General features: G+C 46.5%; 1 protein-coding gene across 4 annotated transcripts in view, besides 3 other annotated features; it reads right to left on the bottom strand.

The window, feature by feature from the left end:
* Positions 1 to 22,790, bottom strand: part of GID4 (GID complex subunit 4 homolog) — a 28,998-nt gene extending 6,208 nt beyond the window's left edge. The window contains exons 1-5 of one of the 4 annotated variants that reach the window (NM_024052.5): positions 22,296 to 22,790; positions 16,992 to 17,051; positions 7,964 to 8,071; positions 3,229 to 3,330; positions 223 to 353 (exon numbers count right to left, since the gene is read on the bottom strand). In NM_024052.5, coding sequence (NP_076957.3) covers positions 223 to 353; positions 3,229 to 3,330; positions 7,964 to 8,071; positions 16,992 to 17,051; positions 22,296 to 22,733 — 839 coding nt within the window. In that variant the 5' untranslated portion in view covers positions 22,734 to 22,790. Of the gene's footprint in view, positions 1 to 222; positions 354 to 2,449; positions 2,923 to 3,228; positions 3,331 to 4,726; positions 5,496 to 7,963; positions 8,072 to 16,991; positions 17,052 to 22,295 lie in introns of those variants that run through there. The other 3 variants (XM_011524008.2, XM_005256800.2, NM_001411057.1) reach the window with 3 other exon arrangements.
* Positions 21,782 to 21,841: an enhancer, noted in NCBI's record as "active region_11823". NCBI's record gives its function as "activates an Ori minimal core promoter by ATAC-STARR-seq in GM12878 lymphoblastoid cells {active_cell/tissue: GM12878}" and the evidence as "EXISTENCE:reporter gene assay evidence [ECO:0000049][PMID:35858748]".
* Positions 22,192 to 22,781: a silencer, noted in NCBI's record as "silent region_8265". NCBI's record gives its function as "represses an Ori minimal core promoter by ATAC-STARR-seq in GM12878 lymphoblastoid cells {active_cell/tissue: GM12878}" and the evidence as "EXISTENCE:reporter gene assay evidence [ECO:0000049][PMID:35858748]".
* Positions 22,792 to 22,881: a silencer, noted in NCBI's record as "silent region_8264". NCBI's record gives its function as "represses an Ori minimal core promoter by ATAC-STARR-seq in GM12878 lymphoblastoid cells {active_cell/tissue: GM12878}" and the evidence as "EXISTENCE:reporter gene assay evidence [ECO:0000049][PMID:35858748]".

Raw genomic sequence — 22,972 nt, 5'->3', positions numbered from 1 at the left:
TTCACCTATAATTCATTTTCATCTCATTTACTCTGCTCTGTGCATAGGGATAAGGCCTTATTGTGAGCAACTGAGATCACTGAAATAAGCTCTCAGCATCCAAATAAAGCACAGAATCTATACAGAGACAGGCTAAGATGTTGCTTTTGGGTTTGATGAGCCAAGGGAGAGCCAGCTGGGCAGCAAGCCCTCCCCGTGGCCTCTGTCCTCAGAGGTCCTCACCATTCTGAACTCCTATGGTAGTAGTAGCCCTCTATGGAGGCTGCTGACTTCTGAAAGCAGATGTAGTAGAACCCGGCAAAAGAAGCACCACTGATGTCTTTGATCGTGTGATCTGGGACCAGAAACTGTTCCTGCACACAGATGAAGAGGGTCAGTAACAGATAGCATTCTCTGACCACCCACGGGGCCTCCCTGTTAAGCATCAGGGGGTTCTAAGGACCACTCGAGAAAAATATAGGATCTCATAGTCTAACCTAGACTTGCTGGGTGATGGCGGGCCCGTGGGGTCTCAGCCTGACTTCTAAAAAGCGTCCATGTGCTCCTGGAGTATTCTATATACTAAAGTGACAAACTGTGTCTTGAGCTCACTAGGATCAGCAATTCAGAGAAGGTACCATGGCCGAAACATCTAATATATAAATCAATACCTACTCACCTGCCTGTCTGCCTGCCTCTCTATCTTTCAGAGACCACAGACAATCAACCTGGGAAGAGCGAAGTTTCTGCTCCAGTTCTCAGAACTGTCAACAGATGCTTGATAACATCTAGAACAGTGAGTCGCTTCTGTAGGTCTGTGGACCATTCTGAGTGCAAAGCAGTTGCCAGTAGCCCCTGTGACACCCCCTCCAAGAGCTTGACGCCTTGTCAAAAGCAGTCAGAACGGTACTGTTCTTTACCAGGGACCTTAGGAGAGAGGCAAGCTTGCCACCTCTGCTGGAGCTGAAAGCTGGAAACCCAGGTCCTGGCACCTACTTTCCCAGAGAGATGAGGTCAGAAGCTCCAGGGCCTCAGGTGGTCTACTAAAGGACCACAGATGAGCCACTCTGAGACATTCTTTGGAGGCAAAACAAGCCCATTGCTTTTTAAACAAATTTAAGACACCCTCCCATTCCTTATTCAACTTCTAAAATTGTGGCTTTTAAAATTAATTTTAAAATTCAGATCGGGTGTGGTGGCTTATGCCTGCAATCCCAACACTTTGGGAGGCTGAGGTGGGTGGATCACCTGAGGTCAGGAGTTTGAGACCAGCCTGGCCAATATGGCGAAAACCCGTCTCTACTAAAAATACAAAAAATTAGCAGGGCATGTTGGCGGGCACCTGTAATCCCAGCTACTTGGGAGGCTGAGGCAGGAGAATTGCTTGAACACGGGACGGGGAGGTTGCAGAGAACCGAGATCGCGCCATTGCACTCCAGCCTGGGCAACAGAGTGAGACTGTCTCAAAAAACAAACAAACAAACAAAAAAACCCAAAAATTAGCCAGGCGTGGTGGTACGCGCTTGTAGTCCCAGTTACTCAGGAGGCGGAGGCAGGAGACTTGCTTGAACCTGGGAGACGGAGGTTGCAGTGAGCCAAGACTGTGCCACTGCACTCCAGCCTGGGCAACAGAGTGAGATTCCGTCTCAAAACAAACAAAATTCAAACAATAAACTTCCTTTAACAGGTTGTTTAGTTGACATGTTTCCCGCTAGATGGCAAGCTCGTGAGCATACTGTTCCCTGTTTACTCTCTGCATCTGGCAACCTACTGGAAGAGTGGTGATCCCCACTTCTTTTTTTTTTTTTTTTTTTTTTTGGTGAGACAGAGTCTTGCTCTGTCACCCAGCCTGGAGTGCAGTAGCGCAATCTTGGCTCACTGCAACCTCCACCTCCTGGGTTCAAGTGATTCTCCTGCCTCAGCCTCCCGAGTAGCTGGGATTACAGGCGTGCACCACTACACCTGGCTAATTTTTGTATTTTTAGTAAAGACGGGGTTTCACCACATTGGCCAGGCTGGTCTCGAACTCCTGACCTCGTGATCTGGCTCTCTTGGCCTCCCAAAGTGCTGGGATTACAGGCATGAGCCACCGCGCCCAGTGATCCCCATTTCTTTTTTTTTTTTTTTTTTTTTTGAGATGGAGTCTTGCTCTGTCGCCAGGCTGGAGTGCAGTGGCGTGATCTCAGCTCACTGCAACTTCCATCTCCCAGGTTCAAGTGATTCCCCTGCCTTAGCCTCCTGAGTAGCTGCGACTACAGGGGCATGCCAACATGCCCGGCTAATTTTTTGTATTTTTTAGTAGAGATGGGTTTTCACCATGTTGGCCAGGATGGTCTCAATCTCTTGACCTCATGATCTGCCTGCTTCAGCCTCCCAAAGTGCTGGGATTACAGGTGTGATCCACCACGCCCGGCCGATCCCCACTTCCTAAAGTGGTTAGCTATGCAAAATAAAGACCAGGAAAGGCAACTCAATATGATTCATCTTTATGAAAGCTGACAAGATTTCAAGATAAAACGACTTTTTCCCTGCAGACTGGGGACTAGGGGTTGGTATGTTCTCAAAGTTATTTAACAAACTGGCTTCCTGATTTTGCTATTCTGGGGCTGTAAATATCACGTTATCAAAGCAGGGAGCACAAATGACCTCGCAGCTAAAAGCCAATCCATCAAGTCAGTCAGGTGGGGCTCTCTGAGGTCTGCTGAGTCAAAAACCCGTGTTCCATTCCCGGTCCCTCATTTCCTGAGCTGGAGGGAAGTAGAGGAGGTGAGACTTTCCTGAGCTCTGGGAAAAGGATGTGGTGGAGGGCACCTGGCCCACGGATGGTGTTTAAGCCTGTAGAGGGATCTGGGTACAACTGATGACTAAGTTCAAAGCAAGTTTGGCTCTGCCTTGAATCCACAGAACACTTGGAGTGATTCAACTTGGGGGTTCAACAAGATTCTTGGGTGGGAGAAAGGAAAGGGAGAAGACAATGTTAGAGGCAGCCACCTAGGCCCAAATCCACTTGCTACCCACCAAAAGCACAGCGAGGAGGAGCTGTCTGGGACATCGGCAGTTAACCAGTGCGTGCCCTGGAGCTGGGCCCACTTTTTATAGGCGTGCAAAGACCCTGCCATGAAGACTTTGCCATGACAACCAGCTGTGACGAGCACTGGACATGGGGAGCCCTTGGTTAGAGTGAATATGTAGGTGCGATACAGGGCCTGGCTTGCTGGGAGTCTGGAGGGCCACCTGGTGGGAACTTACCTTCCACCTCATGAAGACGTAGTCTCCATTCTTCAGCTCTTCATAATCAAAGTCATCTGAGTTAAATGATTTTGCATACTGATAAAAAGCCAGAAACTTGCCCTGAAAGCAGAAAAGAGAGTGTGCCGATTGACTGAGAGAAGGAGAGGCTGCTCTCAGAACTATGCTTATGTGCCCAGGTAAACTCACCTTCCCAAGGCATGACAGCTAGGGACGTGGCTCCCAAAAGGGCAGCTAAGACCAAGTAACAGATGGGGCCCTATGGTCACCCCATTGAATGCAGACTCAACCCTGGGGCAGATACCTGGACTCCAGCTGGGGCCCCACTGCCCTACACCTGCCTTGTTAACATGGCTGAGGAAAAGGCCAAAGGATGGGAATGGTGAACAGACAGACAAAATAAACAGACGAAAGCTAAGAAAAATTAATGAGAAGACCTCTGCAAGTAAATCCGAAGTAGCAAAAAGAGCCATGCAAAACAGCTTAGAAACAGCCTGCCCAGTCTCAGAGAAGAGGGCTTTGTGAAGCTTGTGTCTCTGCATGATCTAGGGGCTTGGGCCAGCTAGCTAAGCAGACACTAGAAACACATGATAGCCTTGTCCTTCGATATCTGCGAGAGATTGGTTCCAGGACCCCCATGAATACCAAAATCTGCAGATGCTTAAGTCCCAGATATAAAACAGTGCAGTATTTGCAGATAACCTACACACATCCTCCCCTATACTTTATAGCATCTCTAGATTGCTTATAATACCTAATTCAATGTAAATACTAAGTGAATAGTGGTTATACTGTATCGTTCAGGGAAAAATATCAAGAACAAAAAATCTATACATCCACTGGGTGTGGGGGCTCACGCCTGTAATCCCAGCACTTGGGGAGGCCAAGGCAGGCAGATCACAAGGTCAGGAGATCAAGACCATCCTGGCTAACACGATGAAACCCTGTCTCTACTAAAAATATGAAAAAATTAGTTGGGTGTGGTGGTGGTCGCCTGTAGTCCCAGCTACTTGGGAGGCTGAGGAGGAGAATGGCGTGAACCCGGGAGGCGGAGCTTGCAATGAGCCGAGATCGTGCCACTGCACTCCAGCATGGGCAACAGAGCGAGACTCTGTCTCAAAAAAAAAAAATCTATACATCATCAGTACAGATGCAATTTTTTTTTTCAAATATTTTCAAACTGTGGCTGGTTGAATCCACAGATACAGAACCCACATATATGGAGGGCTGACTACATTTACAACAGGAGATTAGGAATAGGTTACAAAACTGTATTTTATGATCCCATTTTTTAAAAAAAAGACAAAAAACAAGTATACACTGTATACCCAAAAGAGATTCAGGAAGAGGTTAACAGCTATTTTAGTTTTAGGTGTTGCCATAGATGACTCCTTTTCCTCCAGCTTTTCTATTTTTTCAAATATTTTTAAACAAGCATGTGTTAATTTGATAAGAAAACATCTTAAATAAAAAATCAAGACACAGAGATATTAAGTCATAGATTTTGTCACATAGATTTATTTTATTATTATTTTTTGAGACAAAGTCTTGCTCTTGTTGCTCAGGCTGGAGTGCAATGGCATGATCTCAGCTCACTGCAATCTCCGCCTCCCAGGTTCAAGTGACTCTCCTGCCTCAGCCTCCCGAATAGCTGGGATTACAGGTGTGTGCCACCATGCCTGGTTAATTTTTATATTTTTGGTAGAGATGGGGTTTCACCATGTTGGCCAGGCTGTTCTCGAACTCCTGACCTCAGGTGATCCATCTGCCTCGGCCTCCCAAAGTGCTGGCATTACAGGCATGAGCCACCACACCTGGTGTCACATAGACATTTTTATCCTATGTAGACTGAATATATGGAATCCTGACTTTATAGTACCACTATAATAGCAACTTAAATACCACTCAGGAAAATCTGAGGATGCAATACAATATCTCTGATTCTAGTTTATAATGAAAAAATGACAGCCTAGGTGAAGTGTATTAGACATTGTAAATCTCAGACAAACCCAGGTGCAGTACAGAGCTCCAGGAGTCCCACGTGGGAACCTGGGAGTCCTCCATGAGTGGTGAAAGTTAGGGGAAATGCTGAGTACTACAAAAGCAGCCACAAACTGTTGGAGGAGGAAGCACTCCATAGGTTCAGCTCCCTGGCTCAACCACACCTCACATGCCAGTACCAAGGGTGGCCTTCTTAGTTCCTCTCTCACCCAAAATGTTTCAGTCCAGTCTAGCAGAGTCTGCAGATCCAGATATCTTCCAATGTTCTAACGGAAGTCAATGGGAAAATTAAGAGTTGCTTTCCAAGTATTTAATTTGTAGTCAACCTAGCCTAAAACTGAGTGTCACTGGGCCTCAAAGACTTTGCTTTTTGCAGGACCAATATGAAATGGAAAATAGAGTTGAATGGGAGAGAGGCTGTGGTTTACTACAAGGAAGAACCTTCTACTCTGGGACTGTACAGGAGAGGAAGGAGCCATCTCGTGAGGCAGCAAGCCATGCAGGAAGAGCCTAGCCCTGGGCAGGGGTGGGCGCAGATGGTACTAGGGAGCCCTTCCAACTCCACCTGCTGGTGGCCAGCACCTTCATACACCACTTGGGCTCCCCCAACCTTCTGGATACTCAGGTCTTGTGCATTCTCTTGTATCACAGAGAGACACAAATGACTGTCTAGTTTTTAGTGTCCATTTGCTACAACAATCAAAATGTATAGAATTCAAAAAACGCTTTAAAAAGCTCAAGTTTAAATTTAAATTTAACTGAACCTCAGTATTTGATAGATCTCCTTTTTTTACTCAAGTAAAAAACAGCTTGGGGCTGGGCATGGTGGCTCACGCCTGTAATCCCAGCACTTTGGGAGGCCAAGGCAGGAGGATTACTTGAGGCCTGGAGTTCAAGACCAGCCTGGCCAACATGGCGAAACCTTGTCTCTACTAAAAATACAAAAATTAGCCAGGCACGGTGGTGCACGTCTGTAATCCCAGCTACTTGAGAGGCTGAGAGATGAGAATCACTTGAATCTGGGAGGCGGAGGTTGCAGTGAGCAGAGGTTGCAGTGAGCCGAGATTACGCCACTGCACTCCAGCCTGGGTGACAGACTGAGACTCTGTCTCAAAACCAAACCAAACAAAACAGAACAAAACAAAACAAAAACCCCCATAAAAGAAAAACCAAAAAAACAGGTTGGGTCAGTGGCTCACACCTATAATCCCAGCACTTTGGGAGGACAAGGCAAGAGGATCACTTAAGATCATGAGTTCAAGACCAGCCTGGGTAACATAGGGAGACTCTGTCTCTACAAAAATAAAAGAAAATGAGCTCAGTGTGGTGGCACGTGCCTGTAGTTCTAGCTACTTGGGGCGCGGAGGTGGGAGGATTACTTGAGCCCAGGAGGTTGAGGCTATAGTGAGCTATAATCATGCCACTGCACTCCAGCATAGACGACAGAGCAAGACCCCAACTCTAAAAAAAATTTTTTTTAAATAAAATAAACAAATAAAAAACATTAGTAAGCAAAGCAACTGATCTCTAGTGAGGTGAACTCAAGACAAGGGTCTGCGGGAGTTCTCTCCACAGACTGCTGTGCCAGAACCAGGGGAGAGTTTAGATAGCCAGGTGTGAGAGGCAATGGGAAGAACGAGTTCTAGAATCTTTGCTACTGACACAGCCATTTCTGGTTGGTTTATGGAGGGTAAACCCATTGAACTTCTTCAATGTTAAACAAAAATTCACCATCACCATGGTCAACTAAAGCAAAAGGCTATTAGGTTGAGAAAATGATTTTTTTTTTTTTTTTTTTGAGACGGAGTCTCACTCTGTTGCTCAGGCTGGAGCGCAGTGGCACAATCTCGGCTCACTGCAAGCTCCGCCTCCTGGGTTCACGCCATTCTCCTGCCTCAGCCTCCAGAGTAGCTGGGACTACGGGTGCCCACCACCACGCCCAGCTAATTTTTTGTATTTTTGGTAGAGACGAGGTTTCACCGTGTTAGCCAGGATGGTCTCAATCTCCTGACCTGGTGATCCGCCCGCCTCGGCCTCCCAAAGTGCTGGGATTACAGGCGCAAGCCAACGCGCCCAGCCGAGACACTGATTTTTGAAGACATGGTACTTATATGACAACAAATGAAAAGATCCCAGGACACTAACTGTCTTGAAGCATTCACTACTGCTGAGTGAGAATGCTCTACACTTGACAGTTAAAAAGGGGGGCAGCAGGATTTATAGTGGTGTACTTAAGACAAGACTATACTTGTCTGTCAGCAGCCAGGATAAAAAGAAATGATGTGGCTCTGCCCTGATAAGCCAGTGGGCAGGCAGATTCCCACAACATCATCTCCATCTCATGCCAGCCCCGAAGCCGGAGGTCATCATTGCATGTTTCACAGGGTTTTCCCCAAGCAGAGGTGATTTGAAAGGAACAGTGGACAGAAGATGGACAAACAGGTGGGAAGGATGGGGGGACACTGTTAAGATTCTGATAGCTGAGCAGAGTTCTGGCTGGAACTCTGGGGTTGCTATCATCAGACAACCATTTGCTATTTAAGCAGCAGGTCAGATCGTATTTAAACTGTCCTCATAAGGAAGATGGAACAACTGAGGTCTGTGTGCAGTGCAACCTTTTACTTGGTTGCAAAGCCCCAGTAATCCTCAATAAGGGACAAGGTCTCTGGCTCCCAGCATTTCTTCAATTCTCTAGCAGCCCCTAGATGACCCAGCACAGATCAGATTTACTCACCCAGTGTTTCCGATCAACATCTTCATCTGCATCCCACTTGCGAGTTAAGAAAGGGTGTTTTTTGCTGATTATTTCTCCTTCGAAGAAGGTTGTAAGGGTTGGATACTCCTATGGTAAAAACCCAAATATCAAAATAAGATGTTGAGTGAGAGTTTTTAACCTTTGTACAAAGGAAAAATAAACTTTGCTTTAACTTCTTTCCAGTACCTAGACACTGCTACCTGACAATCCAAACCAGAGTTAGATCGCAGCCAGTTTGCCAACAGGCTGTGGCAATGGACCTGAATCTAAATCACCCAGAGAATGAAGGGTTTCCTGGATTTTGCCAGCAGCAGACAGCCCTTCTTTGACTTCAATTGTTACATGCTAGTCTCTTAGAAAATAATTTGGATGTTTCCACAAATAAATTTTTAATATTCTAGCATACAAAGCAGATCATAACTTGGTAGATTTTACTTTCCAAGGTTAGACCCAAAGAGGCTCCAAAATCACTGTGTCTACCACTAAGGCTCCCTCAAGCCACTGGTTCTCCAACTGGCTCAGTCATTTGTCCCTTTTACACCAATTCTCCAAGGTTCCAGGGTGGATTCTGGGGTAGAATACTTTTTTATTTTTCCTGAGACAGAGTCTTGCTCTGTCGCCCAGGCTGGAGTGCAATGGCACAATTTCGGTTCACTGCAACCTCCTCCCACACCCTGGGTTTATGTGATTCTCCTACCTCAGCCTCCCGAGTAGTTGGGATTACAGTTGGCTGCCACCACGCCCACCTAATGTTTGTATTTTTAGTAGAGACGGGGTTTCGCCATGTTGGCCAGGCTGGTCTCGAACTCCTGACCTCAGGTGATCCACCCGCCTTGGCCTCCCAAAGTGCGAGGATTACAGGTGTGAGCCACCGCACCCAGCCTAAAATACCTTTTATTTTGGCCAGGCATGGTGGCTCACGCCTGTAATCCCAGCACTTTGGGAGGCCGAGGTGGGAGGATCACCTGAGGTCAGGAGTTCAAGACCAACCTGACCAACATGGAGAAACCTCATCTCTACTAAAAATACAAAATTAGCCGGGCGTGGTGGCGCATGCCTGTAATCCCACCTACTCGGGAGGCTGAGGCAGGAGATTGCTTGAACCTGGAGGCGGAGTTTGCAGTAAGCCGAGATCACGCCATTGCACTCCAGCCTGGGCAATAAGAGTGAAACTCTGTCTCAAAAAAAAAAAAAAAAAAAAAAAGTAAATACTTTTTTCAGTGTTCTACATGTTCAGAGAAACTTCTAGTAATGAACTATACAAATGGTCCCTGAAGGTAGTCTTAGAATACCTTGATACATAGGGATACGTTTAATTCTGTCACATGAACTAAGAACAACTTATATGAGGAAAAACATATGAACTAAAAACAATTTATATGAGGAAAAACATATGTAAATCATGTCTGAATGTAAAAACCACACCGTGGAAAACGTAAGCAAGAAGCCATGTGCTGGCTTGGGTGCTTTGTTAATTGCTCTTTGTTCATGTGTTAATAAGTAGGCACCAATGATTTTAAAAAAGATTAATAAGACAAAAAGTTAACACCGTAAAAAGTCTACATTTCTCTGCATTTGTAGAAACCAACCAAGCACCCACCTCTCAGGCTACCTTGCCAAGCCCCTGGTGTCTGCCAGGAGCATGGTTATGAGAGTCACTGGCCTGGAAAACCACAGATTACAGTCCTAACATCAAGGACTGCAGAAGGCCCACGTTTTTCCTTCAGATCAGATGTAAGCCCCTCTTATTCTGCATCAAAAACCTCATTCTGATGGCTTTGCCACATCTACCAACCTGGCCTGCATGTAGTGTAGGACCTTCCTGAGAGAGGCTGCCACAGTAAAAGCCACTGGTGCAGAGGCTCCCAGGAAACAGAACGTCACCACCGCTGCAGGTGGCTCAGGAGGCCTGCTTTAGGATGACACCATGGAGGGGATCTGTTTCCTTAACAGTGAACTTAAAATATGATAAATCTAATACTGCCCCAAACCCACAACCCCCCTATCCTAACACTGTTGCTGGATTCTTCACATAAATATTTAAATACATAGACTGAAAAAATGAGAGAGGAGAAATTTTCCTAAATGTAAACCTAATTTTTAAGGTATAAGCTAACTTTTTTTTTTTTTTTTGGGGGGAGGGACAGAGTCTTGCTCTGTCGCCCAGACCGGAATGCAGTGGCACGATCTCGGCTCACTGCAACCTCTGCCTCCCGGGTTCAGGTGATTCTCCTGCCTCAGCCTCCCAAGTAGCTGGGATTACAGATGCATGCCACCACGCCTGTCTAATTTTTTGTATTTTTAGTAGAGACAGGGTTTCATGGTGTTAGCCAGGACGGTCTTGATCTCCTGACCTCATGATCCACCCGCCTCGGCCTCCCAAAGTGCTGGGATTACAGGCGTGAGCCACCGCACCCAGCCGGTATAAACTAACTTTTAATTATAATCTGTTCTAGGAAAGACTACTAAGGAAAAAAGTTCTCAATAAATCAGCACCTGCATTTGAGATTTTAAACTAGAAGCTATTTTTTTTTTTTTTGAGATGGAGTCTCGCTCTGTCGCCCAGGCTGGTGTGCAGTGGTACAACCTTGGCTCACTGCAACCTCCGCCTCCCGGGTTCAAGCAATTCTCTGTCTCAGCCTCCCGAGTAGCTGGGATTACAGGTATCCACCACCACGTGTGGCTAATTTTTGTATTTTCAGTAGAGACGGGTTTCACCATCTTGGCCAGGCTGGTCTTGAACTCCTAACCTCGTGATCCACCTGCCTCGGCCTCCCAAAGTGCTGGGATTACAGGCATCAGCCAACTACAAACTGTTTATATTATTTTTCCGAGTTTCAAGCTTTAATCTTTTTTCTGAACTTCCTTGAAAGGGATAGGATGAAATGATAAAGAGGTTTTAATACAAGGCCAAGCCTGGTGGCTCACACCTGTAATGCCAGCACTCTAGGGGGCCAAGACAGGAGGATCACTTGAGCCTAGGAGATCAAGATCAGCTTGGGCAACATAGTAAGACCCGGTCTCTATTTTTAAAAAAGGGAGGGGTGGGGAGGAGGTCCTAATATGATTAAAACACTTATGGTTTAAATCACTAGTTTTCTTAATGAATAATTCTGCATTGACTTCTTTGTAAACATACTTTAGGCAGTATATCAGGGTAACTACAGGGTACCCTCAAACTTTGAGAATTAAATAAAATAAATACCTAATAAATGAGATTCAGTGTGTACAGAAGTCACTGAAAAGATAAAATATTCTCAGAGCAGGAACAGGAAATTCAAGCACTTTATTACAGCCCAATGAGGGGTAATTTATAGAGCGGACGAAAAACCATGTCAGAAGAAAGGATATCGAGAAATGAATAACAGAGGCAGCAAAAGCAGGAGTGGGCATCCCTTGGTGGGTCTGGCTGTTGTCAGACATTTAAGTCCCCCAACTAATCCTCCCACTGATTCCAGGCTCACCCAAAACTGTGTGGTGATAGGTACCACGACTTTCCATGTAGACCTGTCTTCTGGAGGATTAACATTCAATTGGCCAATAAGTCAACAGGAACTTCTGGAACATACAGGAATCTCATTCTCTGACAAAAACTGGCACTTTTGTTTTTGTGAGTTTTGGTAGGTGTGACCTGTCTCCCTAGTTAAGCACAAGTCTAGCACAACTTCAGCTGGAGCTTCCAACCCTTCCAAACCCAAGTAATGAGTAAGTGGGGGGCCTGCCCATGGCCCCCAAAGGCTGGGCTCCCAGGTAACCCCTGAAAGCTGCTGGGTTCCCCGGAAAGGTCGCCTCTCTTGACTGACGGATGGCTCAAAAGTGCAAAAAGAATGTTATTTCATATTTATTCTTTACATTTCTAGAATTTCACTTCCAGAAGGCATGAAAACAAACTTTAAAGCTCCGTTTTGCAATGTGGCAATTCCTCAAAGAGTTAAAAACAGAACTATCATTCGACCCAGCAATCCCATTATTGGGTATACACCCAGAGGAGTATAAATCATTCTACTATAAAGATACATGCATGCAAATGTTCACTGTAGCACTATTCACAATAGTAAAAAGTGGGTCAACCTAAATGCCCATCAATGACAGATTGGATAAAGAAAACGTGGTATATATACACCAAGGAATACTATGAAGCCATAAAAAGAAATGAGATCATGTCTTTTGCGTGAACACGGGTAGAGCTAGAGGCCGTTATCCTTAGCAAACTAATGCAGGAACAGAAAACCAAATACTGCCCTTATAAGTAGGAGCTAAATGATGAGAACTCATGGGCTCAAAGAAGGAAACAATAGGCTCAAGCCTGTAATCCCAGCACTTTGGGAGGCTGAGGCAGGCAAATCACCTGAGGTCAAGAGTTCAAGACCAGCCTAGCCAACATGGTGAAACCCCATCTCTACCAAAAGTACAAAAAAAAATTTAGCCTGGTGTGGTGGTACATGCTACCTGGGAAGCTGAGCAGGAGAACTGCTTGAACCTGGGAGGCAGAGGTTGCAGTGAGCAGATATTGCACCACTGCACTCAAGCCTGGGCAACAGAGCGAGACTTCATCTCAAAAAAAAAAAGAAGGGAAGAACAGACAATGGGGCCTACTTGAGGGTAGAGGGTAGGAGAAGGGAGAGGAGCAGAAGAAATAACTATTCAGTACTAGGCTTAATACCTGGGTGACAAAATAATCTCCACAACAGTTACATAGGTAAACCGTGACATAAGTTTATCTATAGATCAAACCTGCGCATGTACACCCAAGCCTAAAATAAAAATTAAAACAAACAAACAAAAAAGCTGTGCTTGTTTGTGAATGTGAGGTAGCTAAGAGGCCATTTAGCTCCTTTTTTTTTTTTTTGACACTTATCTCCTTTTTTTTTTTTTTTTGACACGAAGTCTCACTCTGTTGCCGAGGTTGGAGTCCAGTGGCATGATCTGAACTCACCACAAACTCTGCCTCCTGGGTTCAAGCGATTCTCTTGCCTCAGCCTCCTGAGTAGCTGGGATTACAGGTGCCCGCCACCATGTCCAGCTAATTTTTGTATTTTTAGTAGAGATGGGGTTTCACCATGTTGTCCAAGCTGGTCTCAAACTCCTGACCTCAGGCGATCCAGCTGCCTCAGCCTCCCAAAGTGCTGGGATTACAGGCATGAGCCACTGTGCCTGGCCTATCTCCATTTTAGTAGATACTTTTCCATACTGTATACGTGAGGAAGGCAACTACTATGACTAAAACCCAAATTATAGTTTAATTAAAATAAATTAAAAATTTGATATTTTTGCCAGGCACGGTGGCTCATGCTTGTAGTCCCAGCACTTTGGGAGGCCAAGGTGGGTGGTTCATCTGAGGTCAGGAGTTCAAGACCAGCCTGGCCAACATGGTAAAACCCCATTTCTACTAAAAATATAAAAATTAGCCAGGTGTGGTGGCACATGCCTGTAATTCCAGCTACTCGGGAGGCTGAGGCATGGGAATTGCTTGAACCTGGGAGGTGGAAGTTGCAGTGAGCTGAGATCACACAACTGCACTCCAGCCCGGGTGACAGAGCAAGACTCTTCCTCAAAAACAAAAAATAAAAATAAAAAATTGATATTTTAACAAACATAAATGGAAAAGAAAAAAAACCCAAATACAGGTACAAAATTTATTCAAAGATTCATTGTAGTTTTCTGCATTTTACTATTATCTACGGCAACCATATACTAGACTTATAATTTTAAAAGTTATCAGGCTGGGTGCGTTGGCTCACGCCTGTAATCCCAACACTTTGGGAGGCCAAGGAGGGTGGACATTTGAGGTCAGGAGTTCGAGACCAGTCTGGCCAACATGGCGAAACCCTGTCTCTACTAAAAATAAAAGTTAGTTGGGCAGGGTGGCGCACGCCTGTAATCCCAGCTACTCGGGAGGCTGAGGCAGGAGAATCGCTTGAACTTGGGAGGCAGAGGTTGTGGTAAGGTGAGATCACACCACTGCACTCCAGCCTGGGTGACTGAGACTCTGTCTCAAAAAAAAAAAGTTATCGGCCAGGCGTGGTGGCTCACACATGTAATCCCAGCGCTATGGGAGGCCGAGACAGGCGGATCATGAGGTCAGGAGATCGAGACCATCCTGGCTAACACGGTGAAACCCCATCTCTACTAAAAATACAAAAAAATTAGCCGGGTGTGGTGGCGGGCACCTGTAGTCCCAGCTACTCGGGAGGCTGAGGCAGGAGAATGGCGTGAACCCAGGAGGCGGAGCTTGCAGTGAGCCGAGATTGCACCACTGCACTCCAGCCTGGGTGACTGAGCGAGACTCCATCTCAAAAAAAAAAAAAAGTTATCACATAGTTGCACAACTTTGTGAATACACTAAAAACCAATGAACTGTATACTTCAAATGGGTGAAATGTATGGTATGTGAATTATCTCAATAAAGCTACTAAAAAACATTATTTAAAAAGAATTCTTCTACATCTAAGGCCTGAGCAGGACTTGCTTTAACGCAACACCCCTGCAGCAGCATAACGTGGTCTATTTATTGCTGGACCAGGAACAGGCAACTCTGGGGAGGGTATGTGCTCATCGAGGCCACGCCATCTGCAGAGGTTCTGTTAAGAGCCTAGGGCTCCCCTTGGGTTAGCCCCCATTGAAGGGCCATTGTCAGTGCCCCCTCCTCAAAGGAGCCTGACTGCTGCTCTCGACTCACGGGGGCTTCCTAAAGGAAGGGCTACTTGTTCCCGATGGAGAGCTCAATGCCATTAGCATTTCTGTATACTTCTTCAAGATTTCGAATGCTACTTACCATTTCTGTGCAGCTTGTTATCACCCAAATGACTGGTTTTGGAGTCAGCGTTAACATTCCAATGCCTTACACACTTGCTGGTTTCCTTATGAAATTCAGTGTTTATGTTCTGCACCCAGTTAACTAATGTATTTGGCTACCTGAGAGTTGAGCATATTCTGTTTTAGTATCTTTTCTCCTACCACAAACCCAAAGGCTGGAATCCTGTATTTTGCTATCACTTCTACTCCTACTTGATTTGATACAATTCTCGAGTTAAAGAAGAAATACCTTTGGTCTCAACAACAAACTTCATAGGAGATCCTTAATCAGTTAAGCTTCTAATAGAAAAGCAGATAGGAACCAGGAGCCAGAAACTTGTCTTAAGACTGAGGCTCATCAGGACTTTACAAGAGAATCACATATTAGTACCATATTTGAGTCTGTCATTTTCTCTAACATTCTTTCCTTACCCCCAGAACAAGTCCACTGATTGTCTTAGACAGAGCAGGGATTTTTTTTTTTTTTTTTTTTTTTGAGACAAAGTTTCGCTCTTGTTGCTCAGGCTGGAGCGCAATGGTGCAATCTTGGCTCACTGCAACCTCCGCCTCCCGGGTTCAAGCGATCCTCCTGCCTCAGCCTCCTGAGTAGCTGGAATTACAGGTGCCTGCCAACATGCCCAGCTAATTTTTATATTTTTAGTAAAGATGGGGTTTCACCATGTTGACCAGGCTGGTCTTGAACTCCTGACCTCAGGTGATCCATCCACCTCAGCCTCCCAAAGTGCTGGGATTACAGGTGTGAGCCACCACGCCCGACCCCAATTTTTTTTTTTTTTAAAGAGAGAGGATCTTCCTAGGTTGCCCAGGCTGGAGTGCAGTGGCTATTCACAGGCATGATCACAGCACATTGCTGCCTTCAAATCCTAGCCTCAAGCGATACTCCAGCCTCAGTCTTCTGAGTAGCTAGGACTACAGGCACACAACACCATGCCTGGCTAATTTATTAAAAATTATTTGTAGCGACAAGGTCTTGCTATGCTGTCCAGGCTGGTCTTGAATTCCTGGCCCCAAGTGATCCTCCTGCTTTGACCTCCCAAAATGTTGGGATTACAGGTGTGAGCCACAGCACCCAGCCTGGAGCAGGAATTTTTAATTCTCAACTTCGCAGATGAGGACACTGAAAGAAGTTAAAGGTCACAGATGCAGGAAGGGGCAGAAGAAGAATGCCACCCCAGCTCCTTTCCACTGCCCCATCCAGCACAGCACTCTGTCCAAATACTGCTGGATCATCAGACCATGAGAGCTGACAAAGGCCAGAGGCCCCCTGCAGCTAGGTCCAGCCTGGGCATTCCCAGCATTCGGAGGGCCAGTCCAGCTACCTCCTTCCACTTCCTGTTTCCTTGCTAATGGAAAAGAAAGGATGCTCCTCCTTGCTTTCTAAAGTCCCAGGAGTTCTGAGGTTTAAAAACTTGGTTCAAAGAAAATAAAATACTCTGCACAGCAGGTACTTCTGCTGGAAACTAGATGGTCACTTCCCCTTTTTTTTCTTTCTTTTTTTTTTTTTTTGAGACAGGGTCTTGCTCTGTTGCCCAGGTTGGAGTGCATGGTGATCTTGGCTCACTGCAACCTCTGCCTCTCTGGTTCAAGTGATTCTCTGTGCCTCAGACTCCCAAGTACCTGGAACTACAGGTCTGTGCCACCATGCCCGGCTAATTTTTTTTTTTTATGTTTAGTAGAGATGGGGTTTCACCATGTTGGCCAGGCTGGTCTCCCTACCTCAAGTGATCTGCACACCTCAGGCTCCCAAAGTGTTGCGATTACAGGCATGAGCCACCGCGACCAGTCAGTAACTTTTCATTGTTCCAATTAACTAAGAGGCTTAAAGAACTTAAAAGCTCATTTTTTATAGGACTGATGCTTATCTCAGAAACTGTTAAACTTATGATGAGGGTGGCAGCTATATTCTTATTATTTTTTCCCCCAAAAAGGATTAAAAATAAAATCAATAGTGTTGGTTGTGACAATTATGATGTACTTATAAACTTTTCTTTAAAACATTTGTGAATCTGTACACTTCTCAACAGGACACACTGAAACTGCCTGTTTTATGTTCCCTATACAGTAGCAATGCTCAGGAGTAGTCTGCTTTAATTAGGCCTCAAGGAGTTGAGACCGCCTGCCCTGAACCCCAATGAGCCTGTGGAGCACACCACAGACTTTCTAGTGCTGGTTTGTGTGAGCAAGTGCTTACCTCAGTAAGGCCTTTAATCTTCAAGTACCCACAAAGGTAAGAGTTCCCCGTGTCCACGTGCTGAAAAGAAAGGATACACAGCCTGTCACAAATAGATAAACTTACTAGGGGACATGCAGGAGGGTACTCTGCAAATCCTGTGAGGCCAGACTGGTGGTCAGTGAACACCCAGGGCAGTCCAAGGCTCACCCAGTCTCTGGAATCTTGATAAGTTCTCCCCACACACATGCCTGTTCTGCCAAAGCAAACTGATCCCAAGACCCTCTCAACTTTCTTCAGCTGAATATCATGAGACTGAAGTGTCTTTCTGAAATGGGGTGCCCACTCAAATTCATTTTCTGTACTATCTTCAACACACGTCTCCCGGTCATCTAGAGACCTTGAGCATTGCTGGGCACAGGGCCTCTGTCTCTGCCTGTACACGTGGTGTCATCCCTAACCTCAGGCTTGACTTTCTTTCTAATGTCTTTCAAGCCTTTTTCTATTTCTGTATTGCTCAATCATTGGTCTAGGAGGTCTGCTCCTCTTCTAGTTTTTACACTAAACATCATCCTGCATTATCTCTTTATGAAATGGGCAGACTGTTCAGAAATGGCATCTTATAAAGATTTATGTGGTATAAACTTCAGTTATGAACCAAAATGCCAACCAAAAGTCTGACTATATTGTGAATGTTCACTCTGTGCATTTTATATATGGATGCTGTGTTTCTTAATGAAAAGAGTCAGGAGCCTAAAATAAATAGAAATAACAGGCATAGTAGACTTTGAGGTTTAGCAGTCACCAATTACTGGTTGCTGAGACACTGCCGGATGCCTACCCAACAAACAATTTCCTCCTTTTTCACGCTGGCAGGGTCCAGTTTTTGCTCTGGTACCTACCTACCACGTAAGACTTGGTCAACCTGATGGATCTAAGGCACACAGGTGTCCCTATCCCCTTGCAAGTCATGTATTTAGGGGTGAGTGACCCATTTCTGGCTCATCAGATGTGTAAGTCTCCTGAGTGCATCTGTGAAAAATCCCTGGCTTTTGAAGAGGCGCATGAGGAAGAAATGGCTTTTTTGTCCCCTAGTGGTGACAGTATCCGCATGGAGTGTCCAGTCCTGGGGGAGACATCTAGACCACAGGGGAGAAACAGGCCAGGAAATGCTGAGGATGGTAGTTAGAAAGATGGAAAAAACTGGGCCCATCGTAGGCCTCTGAATTAACCAACCTGAAGCCACGTCACCTCAAAAATCCTCCTGATGTGAGATTTCACCCAAATCTATACAGACTCATTCTGAATAGGGAGTTTCAGATTTCATGACAATTGGATTCACTTACAAGGTAAATCCTTGAATTAAAGCAAACCAAGTACAAGGGTACCTGTGGTACACTGAGATTTTAATGTTAAGTGAGGTCTTATTTCAAGAAATTAGAATAGTTTTGTGGCATTTATCAGATTTGTGAACCTGATTACTTCCAATTATACCATAAATCAAATACTAAGCCATGCTTAAAAACTGTAATGAACTTAGTCAACCAGATGATGTCAGCACCAAAGCAAATGAACTTCAATGAAGCCAAAGTGCCTTCACAGTTTGGTGCTGGTGACAAAGGTATTCCCTGTGAAAACTGCCAAAGCATTTTAAATATCCTCATCTGCTGACCTTGGCACTGGACATTATCTAAAACAGCTAATCCACGCTAACATGGTTCAGCAAAGAACTTTTATTAAAGGACACATAATTCTAACCTGAGTCTTTAAATTTCATGTATGCAATTCTCATTGAATTCAATATAGTTTGGAGTTTCACAGCTGCTGAAAAGTGTATCAGGTGGCAAGGATACTTGCTAATAAGATTAAAAATTGAAATGTAAATTGGCTAACATTTTGCATGGATTATCACATGCTCAAGAATCAGAATTTCAGCTTGGCCTCCATTCAACCAAGCGTCTCTCTACTCTGCCCAAATTGATCTTGATAATGGTTGGTGAACTCAAATACACCACAACGCATACAGCTTTTACCAAACGGCAGGCGAGCATCTCAAGAAAGATAACAGGGCACGTGTTTAGCAAGAAGGTGTCACAGCACAGCTGTGTCCAACGGCTGTTCTTTTAAATATTCCTTTCACAGCGACCAGGGCTCCCTTCTACTGCTGGCTTCTTAGATGGCAGAGGAGGAAAGAGGAGTCACAGTAAGTGCGGGGTGGAGAGGAGACCCAGTCAGAAACTCACAAAGGTTTGAGGAACTCTTTACACTAGAATCACAGAAAAGAAAGTACTCCAAAACAACAACAACAACAAAAACACAAGAAAAGATGCACAACAGCACAGTCATTATAGAAATTCAAATCAAGACTACAGTGAGAGACCACTTCAAAAACACTAGGATGGCTACAACAAAAAAGATGAACAGTGAGTGTTGGCGGGGATGTGGAGAAACTGGAACCCTCACCCACTGCTGGTGGAAATGTAAAACAATGCAGGGCCAGTTTCTCAAAATGTTAAAACCCAGTTACCATGTGACCCAGCAATTGCACTCCCAGGTAGTTATCTACCAAAGTGAAATATACATCCACATAAAAACTTGTACATAAATGTTCATAGCAGTATTATTCATAGTAGCCAGAAGTGGAAACAACCCAAATGTCCATCAACTGATCACTGTATAAACAAAATGTTGTATATCCATTCAATGGACAATTGTTACAATGAACAATGCAAAATAAAAAGGAATATAAGTGCTGATACATATTACCATATGGATGAACCTTGAGGACATTATGCTAAGTGAAGGAAGCCAATCTCAAAAGGACAAATACTATGTGATTATATGAAATGTCCAGAATAGACAAACAACAACAAAAATAGATGAGCAGTTGCCTAGGATTGGAGTGGGGGTTATGGCTAAGGGTTACATACAAGGTTTCCTTTTGGGGTGATGAAAATATTCTAAAATTAGGTTGTGGTGGTGGTTAAACAACTGTGAATATACTAAAAACTATTGAATTGTACACCTTAAATAAGTGAATTCTATCTAAATAAAGATACAAAAAGAAAGAAAGAAAACAAAACAAAACAAACAAAAAGAAGCTGAGTTATAAAAGGCAGAAGTATTTTAAGTCTAAGAAGGCTGTGTCTGACAAACTAGTCCTGGCTGAAAAACCAGATGATGGGGCAATTCACATGCCACTGACTAGTCGTGATGATGACCAAGCAGCTCACCAATCCAGATGTAGGGCAGCATTCATTGGCATGACCACCACCCCCACCATCAGACATCTTACTCAAGTGGCTCCCAGCCATCCACCAGGTTTCTGCTCTGGGCTGCCTGAGACCTATCAGCCCTGCCCCAACTCAACCACTGCTTCCCCTGGTTCATGATTCTCCTTCTGAAAGGAGCTCAGAAGTGATACCCTAATGACAGAAGGGAGCAGCAGTTGCTGCAGTAGCCAAAGCAGACTCCCCTTTGACGCCTGGCTATCTTGCCAATTGTCCCCTACTACATCAGAAACCATCAAACTGAACAACAGGGACAAATCCAAGATCATCCCAAACGTGACCCACCCAGGGATCTCACCTCCAGAATTCTATGACTAGGTGCAAAACAAACCGAAAAACCCCTGTACCTTCATACTCGACTCTCACATTTTAAGAAGAGGATCACTACATTAGGCATACAGTTATGAAGACAAAAATATTTCAGCCACAATCGTATTTCCATTATAATAACTATCGTGGCTCATGATAGAACTTTACAGCCCAAAGATATGATTAACATGACGATGCTGTTTCAAGTAAGCAGAGAAAATGATTTATTCCCACAAAGCAGTATGAGAATAAAAGAGTGATGAGTGCTCCGCAGTTAGCAGAAAGAAAAGGCACCCTCATTGTCTTTTGGATGGGAGACCTACTCTTCAGAAGTGAAACTAAGATTTGTTTTAAATGACCAAAAGGAGAGCTTGAGGAATAAATATACTGTACATTCCACCCTCACACCCCGGGGGGTGGGGCGGGGGGGAGGCAGTGGGGCAGCACACAGTGCCTTTCAGAGGGACAGGTGTTTGGAGGGGCTTCTGGGAACAGCCTGGCAGATGAGGTGTCAGACTAAGGAAAAAAAGGGCAAAGGGAAGGGGAAAGGGGTCCTTAGTCAGGCAGGGGTAGGTATAGAGGAGGAAGAGTTTTGTGGGGAGGGGAGATAAAAGAGTATTCACCACTGCCACTCCATTTCAGCTGGCAAAAAGTGTCAAGCCTGAGAGGAGTGAGGTGTGGGAAAGGCCCAGACAAGTGAAGCTGTACTTCCGAAGCTGATCAGGGACTGGCAGCAGGTATTCAGGAATCCAGGTCAAATGGGGGGAGGCGACTGGACATGAACTAAAATTGGGTGAGTTAGATTTCCCAGTACATGGGTACCAGAGACTAAGAGGAAGCCCTGTGCCTGTGTAGAGAAAAGTTAAGAACAGGAAAGAGGGTCCCCTGGAACCAGGATCGAGCAAGACGAAGGTATGGGGTGGGGAAGTCTGGATAGAGGCCAGGAAGACTGGGAAAAGACTGCAAATGGTCCCAGAGCAGGGGCAGGAGGCCTGGGGGTGGAGAAGCTGGAAGGAGCTGGGTGCCTGGACCATGAAGAGACAGAAGCAGTGAGTGGAACAGGGGACCCAGGAGGCAACATCCCAACAGACTGTGAGCAGCACTCAGGGAGTGAGTGCCTGGTCTTGAGGTGAGGCCAGGGCCTGACCAATCAGTTGCGGGTTAGGTGCTCCCCCGTCTGGGGGTCTGATGAAGCCCTCCTAAGGAGATCTCAGGAGGAGGAAGACCCCAAGGTCTGCGGATTCCTGGAACTGAGGAAGGGGCAGGAGGACATGTCTCAGGTCTGAGAGAATCTGACGTGGGCCCAGACATGGGGAGGGTCCCAAGTCTGGTGAAACCAATGGAGAGTTCTTCAGGGTCTGAAAAGGGCTGGTGGCAGTCCCTGATCTAGGGACGACAGGTCATGGGGAGGAAGGACCCAGGCCTTCTCCGAGTCATGAGGGGCTTCCGGATCCCAGACGGGCCGGTCACGGGCTTCAAGTCTGGGAGTGTTCGGGGTCCGCCAGGAGCCGGTCACGACGGGCTCTGGGTCCGAAGGGGCAGGTCAGGGCTGGGGCTCGGAGAGTGTGAGACACAGGCTGGGAAGGTCCCGGGTGGGAAGCGCCGGGTGCAGGAGGCCCCGGCGGCGAGGGCCTGTTCCGCGGCTGCGGGGTCGAGGAGCCGAAGCGGGCACGGCCCGTGAGCGCCGCGAGGAGGCCCTCGGGCCCCGGCCCGGCCCGGCGCTCACCTGCAGCACCACCTCTACGTCGTACGAGTTCCCCTTGCTCTTCTGGTGGCCGCGGAACTTGGAGCCGCTGTAGAGCAGGCTGGTGGCCACGCCGGGCTGCTGGGTGTTGATGGGCGGCGGCGGGATGAGTGAGGCCGCGGAGGCAGCGGAGGCACCGGCCGGCGGGGGACACTCGGTGCGGACCGGCATCGCGGGGTCCCCCGGAGCCAGGGCTGGGGGGAGTGGGAGAGGAACCGCCGCCGCCGCGCGGGAGCCGAGGAGGGTGGCGGGGAGGGAGAGGCCGGGGCGCGCACGCGCGGGGTGGGGGCGGGAGGGGCGACCACCCGCCCGCTGCCTGCGGAGCAAGCGCTCCGGCCGCCACCGGGACCCAGGGACCTGCGAGCAGGGCCTCCCAGTCCTGAGCTGGGTCCCCCTCCCGACTTGCCCTCGCGCACACATACACACACACAGACACTCACAGACACACAACACACAAACACACACAGACACACACACACCCCGCCCCTTCCGATTGGCTCAGGCGAGCCTGGGGGGCGGGAGCAGGCTCAGGCGGCGCTTCCGCCCATTGGCGGGAGGAGAAAACACGTGGCGCGGTGCGCGAGCGGCCCGCTGGGACTTGTAGTCTCCTCGCCGAGGCGCGGCGTGGAGGGGGCGGGGCGAGGTGCGTTTGTGATGCT

This window comes from Homo sapiens, chromosome 17, assembly GCF_000001405.40.
Source record: "Homo sapiens chromosome 17, GRCh38.p14 Primary Assembly".
NCBI classification, from domain to species: Eukaryota; Metazoa; Chordata; class Mammalia; order Primates; family Hominidae; genus Homo; species Homo sapiens.
The sequence above is the reverse complement of the archived record's forward strand: the minus strand, read 5'-3'. Positions and strand labels throughout refer to the sequence as shown.